The sequence below is a fragment of the Homo sapiens genome, chromosome 3 (genome assembly GCF_000001405.40).
Source record: "Homo sapiens chromosome 3, GRCh38.p14 Primary Assembly".
Classification (NCBI taxonomy): Eukaryota; Metazoa; Chordata; class Mammalia; order Primates; family Hominidae; genus Homo; species Homo sapiens.
The window spans coordinates 97,443,603-97,463,311 of NC_000003.12; the positions used below are offsets into that span (position 1 = coordinate 97,443,603).

Genomic DNA, 19,709 nt, shown 5'->3' on the forward strand with positions numbered 1-19,709 from the left:
ACTTAATATCTGCCTATATGACATAAAATTAATAGAAAATAAAAATAAAGGCAGCCTGCATGGATTTGTTAACCTTAATAGAAAATAATTTTACCTTTGAAATGTGTATTTAAACATTTGGTGTTGAGAATTTTTTCTTCCAATTGAGGAACTAGTTGTTCATATAAACATAGTCTAATGATTAGCCAACAAATCATTACTATGTGGTCCATAAGGTGTGTTAGTTACTTCTAGTGTATAGATAGTTAAGAACATAAAGTGTGGAAAAAACTACTTTGGCTCAGTCTAATCCATAGACATATATACTCTGGACATATTTGCTTAAATGGGGTGTAGTGGAAAAAGCACAACTTCGATGGAAGCCACTGACAAGTTGTGTGACTTGTTTTGCTAATTTACTTATTCTTTCTGGACTAATTTGATCATAGATAAATGGAAATAAAAATATTACCAGTTCTTATTTCACAAGACTATTATGAAGATTAGATTTTAGATGTGTATGAAAACACCTTGTAAATTGTAAAGCTCTACATAAATCATTGTTATTATGATTGTTGTTATATCTTTACATAGATATGTCTAGAAAATAAAATATAATTTTTATCTTACATTTAATCCAATTAATTTAAAATTAAAAATAAAACAAAGAGGTGACACCTTTTAGAAATCCCAATAGGCCCAAAGACTTTAGGAGAAAGCAAACCAGCTAAAAGATGACCACTATGCTGGCCTATTGAATCTATTCCCATAAATGGAAATGGTAAACCCAAGAGAGGGAGATGAGGAATGATGACAATGATTCATAGCAGAAGGAAAAACACCTGCATTTCTGACATTAAAAAAATATTGAATTGAATTGCTAGGTAGAACGTTGGTGATTACGTAAGCTACACCTAACAAAGTGTTCTAGAACCTTATACATACCATGAGATTCAATGAATGTCTGTAGAATGAATGAGTCTTCTAGAGGAGTAAATCAAAACCTAAAAGGTAATTTGCCAGGGTACATAATAGAAGCAGAATCAAGATAATATCCAAGACAGGAGAACTCTAACCTAGAATTTTTTCCATGCTGTCTTCTATTGATACAGGCCCTGTTATCTCTGACTGTAGAAAGATATAGCCATAGGGTCTGAACACCTGAGCCTATTTGTTTTCACCAAGTTATAGTTTTCAGATTGAATGCTAACAGGTTCCAGACTCTAGCAAGAGGGTCCATTTTAGTTACCATGAAAAGTTGACACCTATAAAGCTAAGTTCAGTATTTCAGGTAAACGAAAGATTCAGTGTGACAGTATGATTCCCAGAAAAGCCTTGATTCTCAGCATCTTGGAAGGAGCAGTGCCTAAATATAAGTGCCAGGGTCTTCCCATGGGAAGAGAACCATAGGTAAAAGTCAACATCTCTAGAGAACAGTATATGCCTGCCCTGTTTGACAGTGCTCTACGTTCACACTATTTGGTTCCAAACTATTTTTTTTTAATTTGGATACAAATATGTCAAACAGGAATTGTATGTATGTTTTATTTTAGAAAATGATACAACTTAAAATGTGTTAAAGTTCATTGCTTCTCAATGATTTTTTCTCACAATTGGTGCTATTTTCTGTGCTCATCCGAGGAGAGGTCATGCAACAAGCTGATTCACTTTCAGCCGACAAGCATTAGTGCACAAGATGGCCAGTGCTCTCAGCCAATGAGCATCCACTGCACTATTCACAGTTGAGTATGCTTTGCAACCCACGCAACTATGCCTTTGGAGGTTCACTTTATGCCATTTATTTACTCCCTGATACCATGTCTTAATCCACAAAAATGTGCAAGTAATAGTTCTTGGTCTCCCACAAAGAATTTTTTAAATCATACTTTTAGATATTAATAAGTACTTAGAACTAATTAATAATACCTTGTATGAAAACTTATGAAGTATAACTATAGCAGTACTTAGCATGAAATTTGTAAGCTTAAATTATATATTTGAAAGAATGTGCTGATAATGAGTTAAGCATGAAGCATAAGAAGTTAGAAGACAACATATCTAACAGAAAGTACAAAGAAGAAAGAAAATTTATAGTAAGAACAGATATCAAATGTAATAGATTAAAAAAAAATAGAGGGGAAAAAGCCAAAAATGTGTTCAAACCTCTGGAAAGCTTGATCATGAAAAAAAGAAATTATAAAAATAAATAATATTAAGAATGAGAAGAGGAATTTTATCACACATTCAGCAAAGATGAAAAACAGAACTTTATGAACAATGGAACGTGTTCCCTAGCTAAGTTGAAGATTTACGTGTCATACAGCTAGCAATGCCATCATGGTACAAACTCCAGAAAAGCACGCCAACATACCCTATCTAAACATATTCAAAATTCAACCTGCCAGGATGAAGAAAACATCTCAATGGCTCTGTGGCAAAGCCTGGTCGCTACCTGGTGACAACACCTTTGAAATGGAGTTGATGCGTCAGCAGAAAGGCAACTGGCCAAAATTCTGGGACGATAGTGTCCTACCTATGCATATCATAGACAAAAGCTAACTTGGTTTCCCAAGAGCTTAAAAACACCAGGAGGAGAGAGGTCTGCTGTGTACTGTGAAGAATTCTTGTGACTGCTTCTTCCTGGACCCTCTTCCTCATCATGTCAGCAAGCTGTAAGACGTAAGACAAGGCAGCAGCACTCACCGGTAGTGAGTGATTCGGGCTGAAGAACCCCTTAAGTACACTTCCTACTGTTTGATTTTTATTCCAAGGATTTAGCTACAGGTACACTTTTGTAGGTAACAACAAAAATACTAAAAGCTGCCTGCAAAAGGTGTCCTTTATTCCCTGTAACTTTACTGAATAGGAAGTTACTATTTAGCTATGTTTTGGGGAAGCAACAAGGATAAGATATGTAATTATCCTGGAGCCATTCTAAGAGTAAACTTTTGAACCATATCTTCTCTCTTTTGGGATGAGACTAAATGCTTTTTTTCATTGCTTTAAAGTTCTTATCTCAGTCATCATTTCACACTGTGAGACAGCACTCAAAATGCACCATAACTCTTACGTTGTAGAAATTCTGTGAAAAGTAACATATCCTCCTCTTGTATATGAGATTGAAAAATCCAAATGTTCTAGAAATTCCTGCCAGAAACAATATCTTTTTTTCTAATAGTTCACAAGTATTTTTTCTCCACAATATGTGTTTTAAGCCACCTAATTATAAAGGCCTTGATATGAGCAAGCTCCTACATTTAATCCCTAACAGCTCACTGTCACCATCGATGATTTATAGACTTTATTTCCTTGTATTTTATGCTAGGTTGATAAATAATTATTTACTTTCTAATCTTAAAATCACCTAGAGATAAATATAAGTTGCAGTTTTTTGGTTTAGTCTTTTTTTATTTAAAATGTTGCTGTTCTTAATTCAATTTTTTTCCTTGTACTTTATGTTTAATAAGCAGTTTTATTATTTGGGGTATAAATGGCAAATTCAATTCTTTAGCTAGACACAGAATAACCAAATAGCATATAAAGTTCTGACAAGGAAGGTCATAAAGTTTAAAAATGATCCTTAAGATAAGACTTTTTTCTGAAAAGTAGCTTAAGAGAAATGATTTTCATAGTTCTAAATCTTAAAGCATCACCAGCAAATACATGAAGTTTGACCTATTCTCCATATGTGTACATTTTCATAACTTGTCTTGCTAGTTGGGAAGGTCTCCTAAATAACAGTGGTTTTCAGGCAAACACTAAATGAAATTTTGATGGGAATATTATAGACAGAATTTAAGCATCAAATGAATGATTCAACTAGTGACCTTGAAAGTCATTTTGCATCTCTGAAAATCTCTAGGGTTTTTATGAGGATGGTGGAAATTAACTTGAGGGCCTGTTGACCTAGCTTGACCTATGACTTTTGTTTACACAAATGCATTTTTTTCCAGATACCCTATTAAAATATCATTGTAAAGTTATTGAATAATAACACCATACAAAAACAGTGTAGGTTTAATTTGTCCCCACCACCAGCATATTGTGGACAATCTCTTACATGGACAGGTAAAATGAACTGTCCTGTTCTGAGATAGTGGGCAAGAGAGACCATGTAACAAACCCTGACTGTCTAGATCATCCAGAATGCCCTGGCAAGTTCACTTCCATTTAGTGAAGTGAGATAATTTGGCAATTCACGCAAGAGACTGAGAACCAAGCCTCAAGCCCTGCCTCTGATTCTGCAGGTATGGTAAGTCTTTCATGCCTTTCTGTGTTTCCAGTGCTTCTTCATGGGCAGATTATTTTTAAATCTACTTCACAGTCACTATGTAACTAGTATATGTTTAAAAATAAGCTATATTTAGGGGAGGAGTCAATTCTCCCTTACAGGAAAAAATTCATTATTTTATTTCCTAAATTTTATTCAACTTCAGGTTTTACTACTGGGGAAACACTGAATTACAGCACAAAGTGAATGACTTCAGGATAAAAGATTTCAAACTTTAAAAAGCAATTAATTTATTTCTCCTTTCACCCACAGGTCTACCCACGGATAGCGCCGGCATTTTGGCACTACCTGCGGGTAGAAGTGAGTAGCTGGTACTTGAATTCTCCCACCTTTGCTCCTTGCACTCTGCTGGTGTGCCCATTTTGCTCAAGATGCAGCTGCCATTCTGTGTAAACATATTCTCACACCACCATCATTTCTTACAGTTGGGTCAGGAATCTAAATCACCAAAAATACAAGTGCAGTTTATATAAGACTAATCATCTTTCTTAATAAATTTCCAAATAGGACCATATCATATGCATCATTATGATAAACAGCTAAATGCCAAATTATGGAAAACCATGCTAACACTACTTTGTAATCAATACTTTTGGTATTCAGAGCATAATTTCTCAGTTAAACTTTGGAATGTTTCTAGGAAAAGGTAGAATAACTCTGTTTCATTTCCTTTCTCCTTTTTTTCTGTCCCCCAGGAACATGAGCAGCTGACCTACTCTTCCACAAGGTCCAAAGCCCCCAGTGTCATCATCACAGGTCTTAAGCCAGCCACCAAATATGTATTTCACATCCGAGTGAGAACTGCGACAGGATACAGTGGCTACAGTCAGAAATTTGAATTTGAAACAGGAGATGAAAGTAAGTTTCACACAAGGATATAACATAAGATGTGAATTTAGTATCATTCCAATTTGACCTGATATTTTAAAACCAGGTGTCCCAAGTTTTTAATAGCTTGTTTAAATGAGATTTTGTTCATGTAAATACTCATACAGTCATTTCAGTTAATATTTGTTGCTATCATTAAATGCTTTCATGAAATGCCTTACTCTACCATAAAAGTAATGTGGCCAAAATGTGGCCCTTTATGCTATTACACAGAGTCTCTGTGGATGCCTAATAGTTCACCAGTCCTGGCATCATGATATGATCCTAATGAAAACTTGGGAGAGAATAAAGCCGTGAACAAATGGTTTAAGCAATTCAGAATTGTGCAGCTTTGGCCTTTTATCTCAGTCAATAAAAATAGTGGTCAGGAGATGAACACCACTGACATGCACATTATAGGTTTAAATACAGATGCATGGGCTTCATCAGAAACCCACATTAATTCCGGGACCTCAACATGCTGAAAACCAAAATGGGAGATGAAGGGAGTGAGATATTCCAATGTCATGTAACATCAGCTTTGAGGTCTTTTATTCATTCTAAACCCAGCTTTACCAATGAACTCTTTTTGGCCTTCAGAAATCCATCTTACTGCTCTCTTTGTGAGAATAGTAGGGATTGCTTTTGCCAGACATCTTTATGAAAAAGTGGTCAAATATATAAGAAAAATCTGTTTCCATCATTGTTAACATACTGTATTAATATAATAATTCAATAAAAGTAAATTTATTATAGTAATTCCTTATGGATAACAATAATAATAGCAAGCATTTATTGAGACCCTAAAAATGCCTAAAATGACATTAAATATTTTACATGGAATTGTTCATTCAAACCTTTCAACATCCAGTGAAACAAGTATTATTTTTGTAATTTTACCTATAAGAAAATAGAAACCTAAAGGAGTTGAACAATTTGCCCAAATTTAAGCAACTAGTAAGAAGCTAAGCTAAAATTTGAAATGGAAGCGTGTTTTATTGAAAGGCCTATGCTGTTAGCTACTCCACCATCCTACTAAATCTTATCATTTGTATTATTATGAAGTGTTTTTTGTAAGATCATAAAATAGGTCATAGTTTTTCAGTTTATCACTCCCTCAAAATGAAGCTACTTGGGTTTCAGATTCTATGACAGAAGGAATATTTTGTTGTTTTTACATTGATGAACAGTATTCACATGTAAGAACTTCTTTGTTACAATTATATCTAACTACAAAGGGAGAAAGTGCTGATGTATTTAAGTAAGAAATACCCCACCTTAGGGAGAATGAGTAAACTAATTAATAAAAAGAATACTTGTGGCCTGAGTATTTATATCAGTAATAGTCATTTAAATTTCTGGTGGAGACTATTGACTTTTTAAGCTAGAGAGAAAATTATTAGGAGTAGAGTATTATGATCACAAAACATAGATCCACAATAAAATCCATATAAAAATATCAAAAGATTTGTCCCTGTTATGTCTTTTTCACTTTTTTTCCCCTGCCCGCTTGTCAAACCTTAGCCTAGGTATAAAGCTAAGGATACAGTCCAAGGAAAGTTTGGTCCAAGATTGTCGAATTATTGTCTTTTTTAGGCTGTGTTTCTTTTCACAGCCTGGAAAAGTTAATAGCTTTTGCACTTCTCTTACTTTATTTCACAGATTTAAAAAATTCACCTGACTTTTAAAGTTTGACATTGTTGAGTATTGCATTTTTAAGTGAGAAATGCACTCTCAGATAAACTCATAGAGCTACATCTAAATAAGTCATTTGTGTTCATTTGGGACTTCTAGAGAAGGTCATTTGGTGTAATATTAACAAAAATTCTGATTTAAATATTAACAGTTTGATTTGGTTTTAACATTAGATTTCAACTCATTGTACTTTCAAGACAATTTCTTCAGATGTTATGTAGAATAAAAAGAAAGGTTTTGTACTCACAAGTAACTCAGTACAATTCACTCATTCAACCGACATGTATAGAATATTTAATATGTGCCATACTCATATGAGCCTCTGGGGATAAAAAATAATAATAAGAGCTAATAGCCTATGCCTTCAAACAAGTTTCAGTCTGTATTTCTGTGAGGAAAATAAAAAGTTTAAATCAAAAATACAAGATTAGTGACGTGTACTATCATAAAGATATACAAAGGATATGGTGGCAGCATAGTGAAGATGACTACTACTTCAGCACACATGGGTGGTGAAAGGTTTCTGGAGGGTGAGAGGCTGGGGTTCTTTCTTGAAAGAAGAATAGTCATGGAACAGAAAAAGCATAAAGGCCTCTAACAACATAAAAAATTTAAAGCGCAAATAACTTGGTGTGGCTGTGGTGAGGAGATGAAAATTGTAAAATGGTGGTAGATGAAGGTGGAGAGTTACACAGGGGCCAAACCAAGAGCACTTTTTAGCCATATTAAGGATATTTGCATGTATCCAGAAAATATTCAGGATCCATTGGTGAATTCGAATCCTGGATTAACATGACTAGTAATACATGCAAGACCCTATGCTGAGCAATTTACACATATTACCTCATTTAATTCTGACAAGATTATGCCTCATTTTAGAAACTTGTATAACTTTACCAGAATCTGATACCTAGTGATTGGGGGTGCAAGTTTAGAACCCTAGAACTATCTGACAATGGCAGCAGAAGATGGTGAAAACTATGTTCTGAATTACTGATTCAGGAATGCCGCGAAAATGACTTTGATTAAAACCTTGAAGAGATAAAATGTCTGAGAAGAACCTGAAAATAATATATTTGTGTAAACCTGATGTTTGAGAACATAGAATGGCTCCTAAGTCAATTTACAGTCTAAGGGAAATTCATTTAAAGGATCATTAAAAAAAAAAAAAAAAACTGGTTAGCTTTAAATAGCATTTTCAAAGCCTGCTGTTTATACCCAGGAGAGAATTTCAATGAATAATGCCATAGTAGCATATGGATAGGTTTCCCATAAATTCAAGGATATGATGATGTGAATCCCAATTGACGGCATCCATCTTTTTCTCTCCGTACCCTCCTGGCTCTTCTTTAAATTTTATAGCCTTTGTTTCTCAAGTAGTGCCTGAATTATTGTAATGTCAGCCTTATTATTAAGTTCTCTCTTGTGTATTCCACTTAATTGACTAACTTTATAATACATTCATAGAGATGAGGTATGGGTTGGAAAGGAGTGATCTCATTTGATGATCTGGTTCAAATTTTTTAAAGTAAGCAAAATTAAGTAGTTTATAATTCAGTTCTTTTTAGCCATACTATTTTACTTTGTTCAACTTTGACTTTGCTAATGACCAAGGCAATAACATAATTATGAAATAATTCCTTTTGAAAATCATAATGTTCTTGACTGGCTACTTGTGCTATAAACATAGTGGCATCTGAAGAAAAATTATGGCGACCCTCTTGCACTTAGAGACCAGTGCTTGGTTCTTTTTCAATATCAAAATATGCTAGTGGAGATTCTCTAACTGGCTGACAAATGCTAAGATTACTAATTATCACTGTTAGCATCATAAAATGAATCTACTTGAACTGGAGCTATTGGTTTCCCCTCTACCGAAATCTATAAAACAACCTTATTGCATATATGTATGTGGAGGTAGAGATATAGACAGATTGATAGATGGATCAAATTGACTGAAGATATTCACTCATATATAATCAGAAAATTATTTCCTTGTATTTTAATGTTCGCATTTTATGTATTTTCTGATTTCTCGCTGGGCTAAGTGTACAGTTAATATTATGTCCACTAACAGCATTTATTGAGTGCCTACTGTGTACTGGCCTTATTATTAGGTACTGTACTTGATTGCCCCCTTCCTTCTTTAGAATAGATTTATCAAAACTGCAATAAAATTACAGAATCAGTAGTAAGAAAGTAAGAATATAAAAATACTTCATATGGATTTTCTTGGGAGATAGTTGGAAATTAGGTGTTAGAAGCTAGTAAAAATTTTCTCAAGATTAAAATAAAATCTATATTATGCCCCAAAGCATTAACCATAACACATATCCACACACACACACACTGGTCAAATACAGTCCTTTTTGGCTTATACAGCTATAATAGGAAATTTTAACTGCTCAAATTTATTATTATTTCTGAGCTTATTTTCTGGGCCTTTCACTGCAGAAAAAAATGAGAATCAAAATAAAAAATTGTTGACATCACCAGTAATATTAGCCATAACTTATAAATTGCTTGGAAAAAACATATTTGATACATTTTAACAATAATCCTGTTAAATTACACTTACACATTTTAAAAAGTAATAAAATAAAGATAAGGAAATAAAATTTTTGTTTTTATTTAAAGCACTAGCAAGATTTATATAACATTAAATTCCATATATATAGTAGCAGTAAGTAATTTTGCATGTGCAGTTTTAAAACCAAAATAAAATGTATTCTGCTAGATTGTAGCCAGCTTGAACCTTCTGCTTAAATACTGAAAAAATAGCTTGTGAGCTATCAAAAGGGAACAGAATCCATAGCTTAAAGCCAATTTTTGAAAGAAAATTGGAATTTTACATGTAGTAATTGGCAATTTACCTCTTCCATTGCCTTAATAATTATCTAAATGACCCACAAGAATTAATACATTGCCAACATATAAGCAATGCATTCCTCTTTTCTGAAAAGATTAATTACAGCTTACATTTTAACAACACGTAAATTTAAGTTTTCACCTGTAGGCTGCATAAATCAGTTTTGTAGCACAAAAGCCACATCTGTCAGCATTTTAAAATGTATTATTTACCAAAAGTAGTAATGATGGACTAAATTTATAGCACATAAAATAATCATATAAAAATCATTATAATCAACATTAACAAACCAAACTGTAAATAACTACATTATAGTGGGTATTTCAAAATAAAATCTTATGTCGTGCCTTATATATTTTTACAAAAAGTGGTATGTAGATACAAATGAATAAATGTAACCACTTAATTATTTTGAAAATATCCATAAGATTTAGCTGTTTTTGTATGGTTGATATGTAAGAAATTTGGTTTGTTTTAACCATTTATAGGTAGGAAATTATCCTAAAAAATAAGATGCAAGATTATGTTTCGGTTTCTTCCTCCCAATACATTTTTATGTCCCCATTTGATGAATTTTTCTAAATTCCATTTGCACACTTAAAAGTTCTAAATCATTGCATATGTTGTATTGAATAGAATGTGAATTTCTCAGCAAGATATTAGGTCCCCTCTAAATGTAATCCAAATTGATATCATTTCTATCGATTTCTGCAAATTAAGGTATTCTCTGGAAAAATTAGATTATTTGGATGCTTCATGAACAAAATAATCTGTATCTTCATCATATCTAAGATTCTTCTATGACTTCCAACTGGAATATTCAGAAAATGATCACATTACAAATGATCACTCTAGCTTCCATGCCACTTTCCTGAAATGTTCTTGCCAGTGAGAAATCATCACTTCTTCCTTGGAATTTCTAAATATTTTATTGTTCAAAGGCGTAATTCTTTACTAAGTTGTAAACTCATTGAGATAAAGAACTATAGTCTGTATATCTGTTTGTCTCAGAAAGTGTTTTACACATAGTTAGGTTCCAATATACATGTAATCAAATAAATAAAGAAAATATGATTTACAAAAATACTAAAGAATGGTATGTTGCCTACCAGGTCAAAAAGAAAAAGAAATACTAAAATACTAAATATTAATATTAAAATACTAAAGAATAGTATGTTGCCTACCAGTTCAAAAAGAAAGAATCAGATAATTTTATTTGCCATAGATAAGCAATATTGCTTGCTTTATTTTGGGTAACAAGCTATAACTGGCTTGAGTCATGTAAAAACATAATATATGCAAGTTTTACTACAAATTAATTGTTAATTCTAAATTTGGGGGCACATTTTAGGTAGGGTAAAATGACGATTTTGTTGTTAACACATTTTCTTCCCTAAACTCTTTTTTAAAAACCTCCATTATGTTTGATCCAGTCTGTTGGTTGAAGCACAATCTGTACTGCTTCAATTACTTAGGATGAAATTAGCCACATCATTATTAACACCAGCTAGAAATTTTGGAATGATTATTAATGGTAGCACATGAAGCAGAAAGAGGACCAGCTGACCCTGGTGGAGTAATAAAGTTAATTAATCAAGCAGGAGGCAGATTTCATATTTATGAGTCTACCCAGAGGAGGACAAATTCCAGTATATAAGACTTTAATTTAAAGTAATCTCCAGTCAATAGCACACTTTCAACATTGGCAGCCATAGCCATCTAAATGCAAACATCAGTGGGAAAGAGGAATTTTCTAGCAGTTAGGTTGTCTGAATATAAAGTGGCCTGTCCTATAAGGTAGCGAAGGCCCCTCATAATAAGAATTTGTGCTGAAGCTAATTGGGAACCTGTTTAGCATGTGGTAAAAGAAATCCCTGCTTTATTTAGGAGGTTGTGATACAAGTTTAACGTAAGTTCAAACATTGAGATTTCATAACAACATATTTGTGAGTTCTAATTATGTTCCAATCACTTTTTTAAAATCTTTTCTGGTTACCAAAACATGTATAGCCTTTGCAGAAGATACTATTATGCCAATTTTACAGATCAAGAAAGTAAAGCATAATGAAGTATAGTAACTTAACAGTACCCACAGGTAGTAAGCATTGGAATGGGGTTATTATGGCATTAGGCCCTTTTCATACTAATGCTTAGAACCAAAATTGAGTTCCCTTTCTACCCATTCAGTACTTTCACTTTTCTTTTTCACCTTAGTCATTATTTATAATTTTCTACATGACTATTTTTTATTATTACCTCCAATTCGTCACCCTCCCTTAATTACTTATATTTTGCCTTAGCATAATGTCTTTGAATATAAGCGGATTTTCAGAAGACTATTTATAAATCTCAGTGCATCAAGTTCACAGAGCTGTGCAGTGTTTTAATGCATATTTCTGGATTAATGTACACATGGTAGACCAAGTATAACACTCCAAAGAGGCAAAATAATGCAGTTAGTGTGATTTACTTAAATATGCAGGGTCTTGATGAAGAGTAACTATTTGCACAGAAAGTAGAAGTCGCCCTTCAAGAGAGACTGAATTGACAAAAAAAAAAAAGATATTTTATTTCAATTATGCCTAGATCAAATAAGGATTTTAAATGATGGGAACCAGGCTTATGTACCATAAGACAGATTGAAGACCTTAATATGAAAAATATTAAAGATCATAACTTTGCTAAATGGGCTGGAAAGAAAATCATTAACTATTAACAGGTACTTAGATGTTGTAAAATGTGCGTATCAAAGGGCAGTGTTACAGCGTGGCTCATATTTAAAAGAAAAGTAACAACAGTAGATCTATTTCTTAATACAGAAAGTAAGCTTATTTTTAAGGCAATAACATATAGCAACATATGTAAAATATTATTTCTTTGGTATATAAACCATCATCCCTTGACTGGAAGTTTTTACAAGATCAGGGAACATTTCTTTTGTTTCTTTTTTTAAAAGATTCTCATTTGTGTATGCTGTGTGAATTTGTTCTCTTAGCAAATTTGAGGTAGGCACTACAGTGTTATTAACTATAGTCACCATGCTGTATATCAGATTCTTAGAACTTATTCATCTTATAACTGAAGACTTGTAGTCTTTGACTAATATTTCCCCATTTCTTTCTCATTTTTATACCTCTTATATTGCTTTGCATGCACCTGGCAAGTAGAAGGCACTCAATGAATTTCATATGAATTAATATTATCCAATAAATACACAATACTCAGTATTTATAAATACTCAATATTGCTTCAAACACATGTATTTTATTAGTCTACTTATATATTTTTAGTATTTTATTTTTGTTTATTTTGTACATATATTAATAACAAGCAATCTGCTGAATGCTAAGGAAACAAAGGAGATAATATATGGTCTCTGTCCTCAGGAAGCTTATCACTAACCCACACTAGAGATAAGAGAGTTCCTGATTTATGTCATTCCCAAAGTCTGATTTTAATTTGACTTGATTTGAGATGGATTTTTTTTTCTATCAGCCATCATATAAATTGCTTGAATTTTTCTTTCAAGCTATTTGACTTTACAACCTTGAATTCTTAAAGAGAGCAAAAATGTTCCTTAGGTATTTCAAATTGCCCCAAATTTAGTGAAAAATATATTCTCTATGTAACACTTGAAGAGTTAGAGCCATTCTTCAGACTACACAAATCAGCTTTATTGACTTGTATTTTGATATGGCTTTTCAAAAGTCGTATTTTAGTTGTTAGAAAAACATCAAGGGCAAAGTGAAGAAAACCTAATTTCTCATTATATTAATAACAGTATGGAGGCCTATTGAGAACTGTTGGAATGATTCTTAATTGTGGCTGACCTCTCACCCTCATCTGTTGCATGGTCATGCACTAAGCTCAAGTAGGGAATACAAGTATTGTGTTGTTCAGCAAGTACCGATAGAATGATGTTTTAAAGCATTAGGAGAGCTCTAGCTGGTTGTAGAGTATCATAGCGATGATATATAAATGTGGTTCTTACGGGGAAAGGGTAGAAACACATGATGCTGAGACGAAGTTGGCCTTTGGGAAGTCACAGACTGGAAGGATGACATAGCATGGGGTTTTGGTTTCTGTTTTAATTTTATGTCCTGGTCAAATTCTATCCACATGGTAATCCGTTATTTTTCAGAGCTGAAAAAAAATCTGAGAATTGAATGAAAGAGTTGTAAAAATGTCCAAGTCAGGTTAAAAGTATTTCATATAAAATATATGAATATTAAATATTATATGTTTATGTCAAAATATAAAAACATCGTTTGAAAGAATTTAATTTGCATGGTGCCACTCTTCAATAAAAATCATTTAAAATTATCTAATGTAACATCTTCTCAATTTGTATTAGCCCAATGCAAAACAGCTGTTTGTGCTTTTTTCACCATAAAGTCACAATACTGAATGGACAAATGTTTATAAAATAAACCCAGCCAGTTCCACAAAGTCCTGTATGAAGAATTAAGAAGCAGCTTAATGGCCGGGCGCGGTGGCTCATGCCTGTAATCCCAGCACTTTGGAAGGCCGAGGGGGGCGGATCACGAGGTCAGGAGATCGAGACCATCCTGGCTAACATGGTGAAACCCCCCTCTCTACTAAAAATACAAAAAAATTAGCCAGGCGTGGTAGCGGGCGCCAGTAGTCCCAGCTACTAGGGAGGCTGAGGCAGGAGAATGGCGTGAACCCGGGAGGCGGAGCTTGCAGTGAGCCGAGATCGCGCCACTGCACTCCAGCCTGGGCGACAGTGCGAGACTCCGTCTCAAAAAAAAAAAAAAAAAAAAAAAAAAGCAGCTTAAGTATTCATGTTACACTTTACTTTTTCAAGGGAAACAGTAGTTCCCTTGAAATTTAAATTGAGTAACAAGAATTCTTGGCAAAATTGCAGGAGCGCTTAAAAGATTTAGCTGTGTGTGCAGAAACCCAAGCATGACATGTGTGAGCACATTACTGTACTATAAAGATAGGCAAAGGAGCAGAATACGGCAATCTTACTGCTAGATATAAAATAGCTGATTCACATCAAACTGAATTTCATATTCTCTTATGCTTCTGGAAAACAGCATTCATTTAAAAATTCTCTTGCACTATAGTTTTTTTAAATTAGTTATCTTATATTTGCTGGATGCATAATCAGTGAGCAGACTAAATAACTTTGTCAACAAATAATTTTGGCAATTCCATCAACAATAAACATGGCAATATTACTTACTGAATTTATCACACGTAAGTGTGTGTATATATATGTACATATATACACACATTCATATATATAATACATATATTCCACATTCATATACACTTCCTATTCCCATTTTGAGATAAAGGAATGAAATTATCATTATTTTAAATATTGTTACATAAGTTGTTACCCTTGGAAGTAAAAATGATTTGTTTTAAAATTTGATATAGTTTGTGTTAAATTTAACATGAAGGAGAAAGAGAAGGGCGCTTGAGAGGAAGCAGTAAAAGCTAAAGCAAGCAGAAGAATGTTTAATTGTTCAACTTGTTCATTCACCCATTTACTCAATCAAAACATATTAATAAATGGGCCAGATATAGATGTAGGCACTAGGAATTCAAAAACAAAAAAGGATAAACCAGTTCCCTGCTTTCACAACAGCTAGTGAGAAGTTCAGAATATTAAACAAGATTCCAGTAGAAGGCAATATGTATTGTATAAGGGAGCACAAGGAGAAAAATGCAAACAAATGTGTCAAGGAAAGCTGCCAAAAGGTAACGTCTTAAAGGAAACTTGAAGGTTAAGTCAAACTTGGCCGTGAAAGTAGGGGTGCAGTGAGGGTTGAGGGACCAGATGAGGGAATTGGGGAGCTTTTGCTCTTTTTAGACAGAACAGTATCTGTGCAAGTGTAGAGATCAAAGAGAGCATGGAGCTTTCTAGTAACTGGAAGAATGTCAGTATAGCTAGAACTGTGCTTTTCCAAAAGTGAGCCCTGTGCCAAAGGCATCAGCAACACCTGGGAACCCACCAGAAATGCACATTTTTCAGACCTCCCACTAGACCCACTAAATCAGAAACTCTGGGGGTGGGACCCAGCATTCTGTGTTGACAAGCCCTCTGGGTTATTCGGCTGCAAGCTTTGGTTAGAGAACCAATGTCATCCTCAAATAGCACAACACTGGCAGCAAGGAATGGTGGGGATGATGATCTCAGTACAAGAAACACAAGATATGTGGCTAGTGAGGACCATGCAATGCCATCCTTACCTTGCTACTGAGGCTCAAATTTCCTAGGTTTTTATTTTTCTTCCAGCTGTATGTAGTTTTGGAGACAGGCAATCCAGTCACAGCAGTGAGCTTCCCGTAACTGACTTCCCTGAAACCACTGCGAACACATCTAATTATTTCCTCACCTTCATTTTACCACACTAAAAATAAAACCTTCCAAATATCTTTTTTCATTGACACTCCTATAGCTCTCATAACTTCCAAATTCCCTAGAGACGATTTTAGCCTTAAAAAATTCACCTACTGAAGGTGCTAGAACCTTGGGAATCATCAATTTAAATTCTAATACATGCTTGCTCTCTGCCAGCATTTAAGCCTGCATATGTCTCTCTGACAGTTCATATTTGGTCTGTGAACTTTCTGAAGATGCAGTAAATTATGACCTGCTCACCAGAACCTTCTGAGAAAACTGGAGCTAAGCCATCCCAAGTCAAACCTTCCAAGAAAATCTAGACATTAAGTTATCTGGGAAACTTAGTGAATTTAGATAGCTTAGGGGTAATGGTGATATGTTAGCAAAGGAAAGTTGGACACCAAAACTGACATGCCATGCAAAGGCATTTGTCTCAGGCTCAGTAACATAGAGGTACATTCTAATTGGTGAAAGAAGAAATGCTACATTCAATTAGGCATCATAGGACTTGGTTTCTTGGCTCATGAGGATTCTCCTCTTTAGAACCATAAATGAAATAAAGCAAACATGCTATATTATCTTCCTTTGCTCTAAAAATGTGAAACTCTCCAGGTATTGGGACCTAAGGATGGCAATGTAGTTGATTTATGTTTTGGTTTCCTCATGGGAAAACTAGAAATTTATTCATTTGTATGTAGAGTCATTCATTCAAAAATATTCTTGAGATCCCATTCTGTACATACTCAGGCTATAGCAGAAATAGACAAAAATCCCTGCTGTCCTGGAGCTTATATTCTAGAGAGATGAGAAAGACAATAAACAAACAATAAGCAAAACATTTTATATGCAGAGATGTGGTGTGTTGCCTAGATTTCCCCTTCAGGACCCAACTAGTGGGAGTTCTGCCTGCTGAAAGCTCATAGTTGAAGGCTCATAGCTGCAGACATTGCCCCTGGCCAAAAGAAGCTACATGCCCCTCTTCCTGGGGACAGTCAGAATCCAAGATTCCTCAATGTGATGTACAAAGACCCATGCCCATTGTGTCAATTAAAGACAACCCAGAAGAAGACCATCCCAGCTCCAGCACTCCTTGGGGTCCGCTGAGGTCTTTGCAGCTACCACATGTCAAGTCAACAGCTGCATCTTTCCATGGGCTTCCTGTACTCCCACATGTTCATGCTGAGGTCACTCCCCAGAAAACATGCTGCAAGCCAAGCTCCATTGCAGAATCTGTGTCCCAGTAAACCCCATCTAAGACAGATAATAAGAGATATTCTGGTGCAGAGTAAAGCTGAGAAGGAGGATAGGGAGTATCTGCCTCCTAATGTGAGAAAAGTACTCACTGCAGTATCTGACACAAGTAACACGTGATCATTCGAAGTTAACTATCACCATAATCCTAACGGTTACTCCAAACTAGGCAACTGGCAAAAACTTCAGGGAGGATGGCCTGACTTTGGTCTTGAAGAAAAGGAAGAACTTATACAAGCAGAAAGAAGAAAGAAATTTTTTATGTTAGCAACTGATTCATGCAATTCAATTTGGCAGGTATTTTGCAGGTAAATTGCAAAAGAGAATTAGCAAAGAGGAATTTTGTGTAAAAATTCAAGCTTTGTACTTACTTAAACTTGGATTTAAATTTTGACTTGATCACATCTCAAATATGGGACTTTGAATAAGTCAGTTAACCACTCTGTGCCTCAGTTTCCACATCTGGAAAATGGATATAAGGATACCACCTACTTTCTAAGGTTCCTGTGAGTATACAGTGATTCAATGCATGTAAAGTACTTAACAACAGAAGAGTATCCAGCTATCATGTGGTTAGAGCTCAATAAATGATTATTAATACTGATATTATTGTTACTAGCTTTGAATCTTAAATTCCATTCTAACAGCTTCAAAATAGTGTTTAAAAATGTTCTTTACCTTCTTGCATATAGATACCATATAAAAGCAATCAAATCATTTTCTTATTCTTCTCCTGATATTTTATTTTTTATACCCATGAATTTACTATAGGGATAGTTAGCTAGTTTTGGTGTTAGTTTTTGTTTAATTTATATAGGTGACATAAAAGGAGGAGTGGAATTCCCCAAGGTATGTTGACCTCCCAGGGCTTAAGCACTGGACAATTTGACTCAGCTGAAGAAACTCCACGTTTTGACTTCTGAGATACCAAATCTTAGTGAGCACAGCAGGCAAGTCAGGGGGCCTCCATTAGGCCCATTCCAGCAATATCACCTTGTAGATCCAGAACTACTCTCTCTACTGTTTCTATGGTAATCAAATTACTTAGAAGTTGGCCTACTTTTCTTTTAAACACTTAACACATCAAATGTCTCAGTGCAAACAGACAACATAGGACAGTGGTTAGAAGCTCGAACTCAGGAATTGGACTATCTGTAAGTAAATTCTGGTTCTGTCCTTTCTAACTATGTGACCATGTGCAAGTTAATTAGCCTTTTTGTGCCTCAGTTTCTCCATCTATTAAATGTAGGTAATAATACTACCATTTCTTATGATTATTTTGAAGACTAAATGAGTTAACATATGTGTTTAAAACTATGGAGAACACATAAAACATGTTTTTTAATATGATAATTACTACCCTTCTTCTGAGGGAAACTCCACTGAGTTCAGTATGATTTTTTGGACCATCCTGTGCCGTGAATCAGCTGCTACTCCCCTACGTAAAGAAAAAAGGAAATAATTAAAAAGAAGAAGAATGTAATTCTGGCAAAAGACCTTTTGTAGGACAGCCTCTGTGGAATCCTCCTCTGTTTTCAAATGGAAATGAGAAGACTTATGTATCATAGCCACCTACTCCACTACAAATTTTTTAAAATTAAAATAATAGTCATCTCATGAATGTCCTTGCACAGAAATAAGCAACTTACCCGAAAACAAGCTTAGCTATATATTGAAAATGATATTTTTGGCTCAGAATAGGTATTAGGTATGTTATCACTTCTTGAATATAAACACAGAATATCTTGCTTGAAGAAGGATTTTACTTTTCAAATTATTGGATAGACACAGTTTTGAAAATATTTGAACTTGAATAAAATCACATTTTGTTTACTGAGCATAATAACTGAAAAGAAGGCTACTCCATTCTTTTCTAACTTATTCCAAGTTATCTGACAGACAAACAGAGCACCAAGTAGGAACACACCAAAAAGACTTGGGGCTTTCTAATTACCTTTGGCACGTGCCTCTTTTTTCTGTCACGTTCTGTGCTGCAGCTCAGAATGCCTTTGAATCCTTGTGAATCTTTGACAACTACTTATTGTTTAACAGAATAGTCCCAAACATATATATAACTAATTTAAGTTATTAATGTCACTCAATAGAGATGAGAGAAATACAAGAATAGTCCAAATTTCATGTTTTAAACAAAAAAAGATGAATTTTTAAAAATTATTATTATACTTTAAGTTCTAGGGTACATGTGCACAACTTGCAGGTTCGTTACATATGTATACGTGTGCCATGTTGGTGTGCTGCACCCATTAACTCGTCATTTACATTAGGTATATCTCCTAATGCTTTTTTAAGCAGTAAGTAGCACGACTTTCCCCATGTATATAATAACATATCTAAATTGGTTTTAATTTTTATAG

At 34.2% G+C, this 19,709-nt stretch overlaps 1 protein-coding gene across 17 annotated transcripts in view; it reads left to right on the top strand.

Annotated features, from left to right (window-relative positions):
- Positions 1–19,709, top strand: part of EPHA6 (EPH receptor A6) — a 946,939-nt gene that overhangs the window by 629,009 nt on the left and 298,221 nt on the right. For 8 of the 17 annotated variants that reach the window (XR_001740110.2, XM_017006211.2, XM_006713592.4 and 5 more), the window contains 2 exons: positions 4,523–4,570; positions 4,966–5,128. Coding sequence is in view for 14 of the 17 variants with exons in the window: in XM_017006211.2 (XP_016861700.1) it covers positions 4,523–4,570; positions 4,966–5,128 (211 nt within the window). In the remaining 3 variants the exon portion in view is untranslated. Of the gene's footprint in view, positions 1–4,115; positions 4,232–4,522; positions 4,571–4,965; positions 5,129–19,709 lie in introns of those variants that run through there. The other 9 variants (NM_001080448.3, XM_047448008.1, XM_017006218.1 and 6 more) reach the window with 4 other exon arrangements.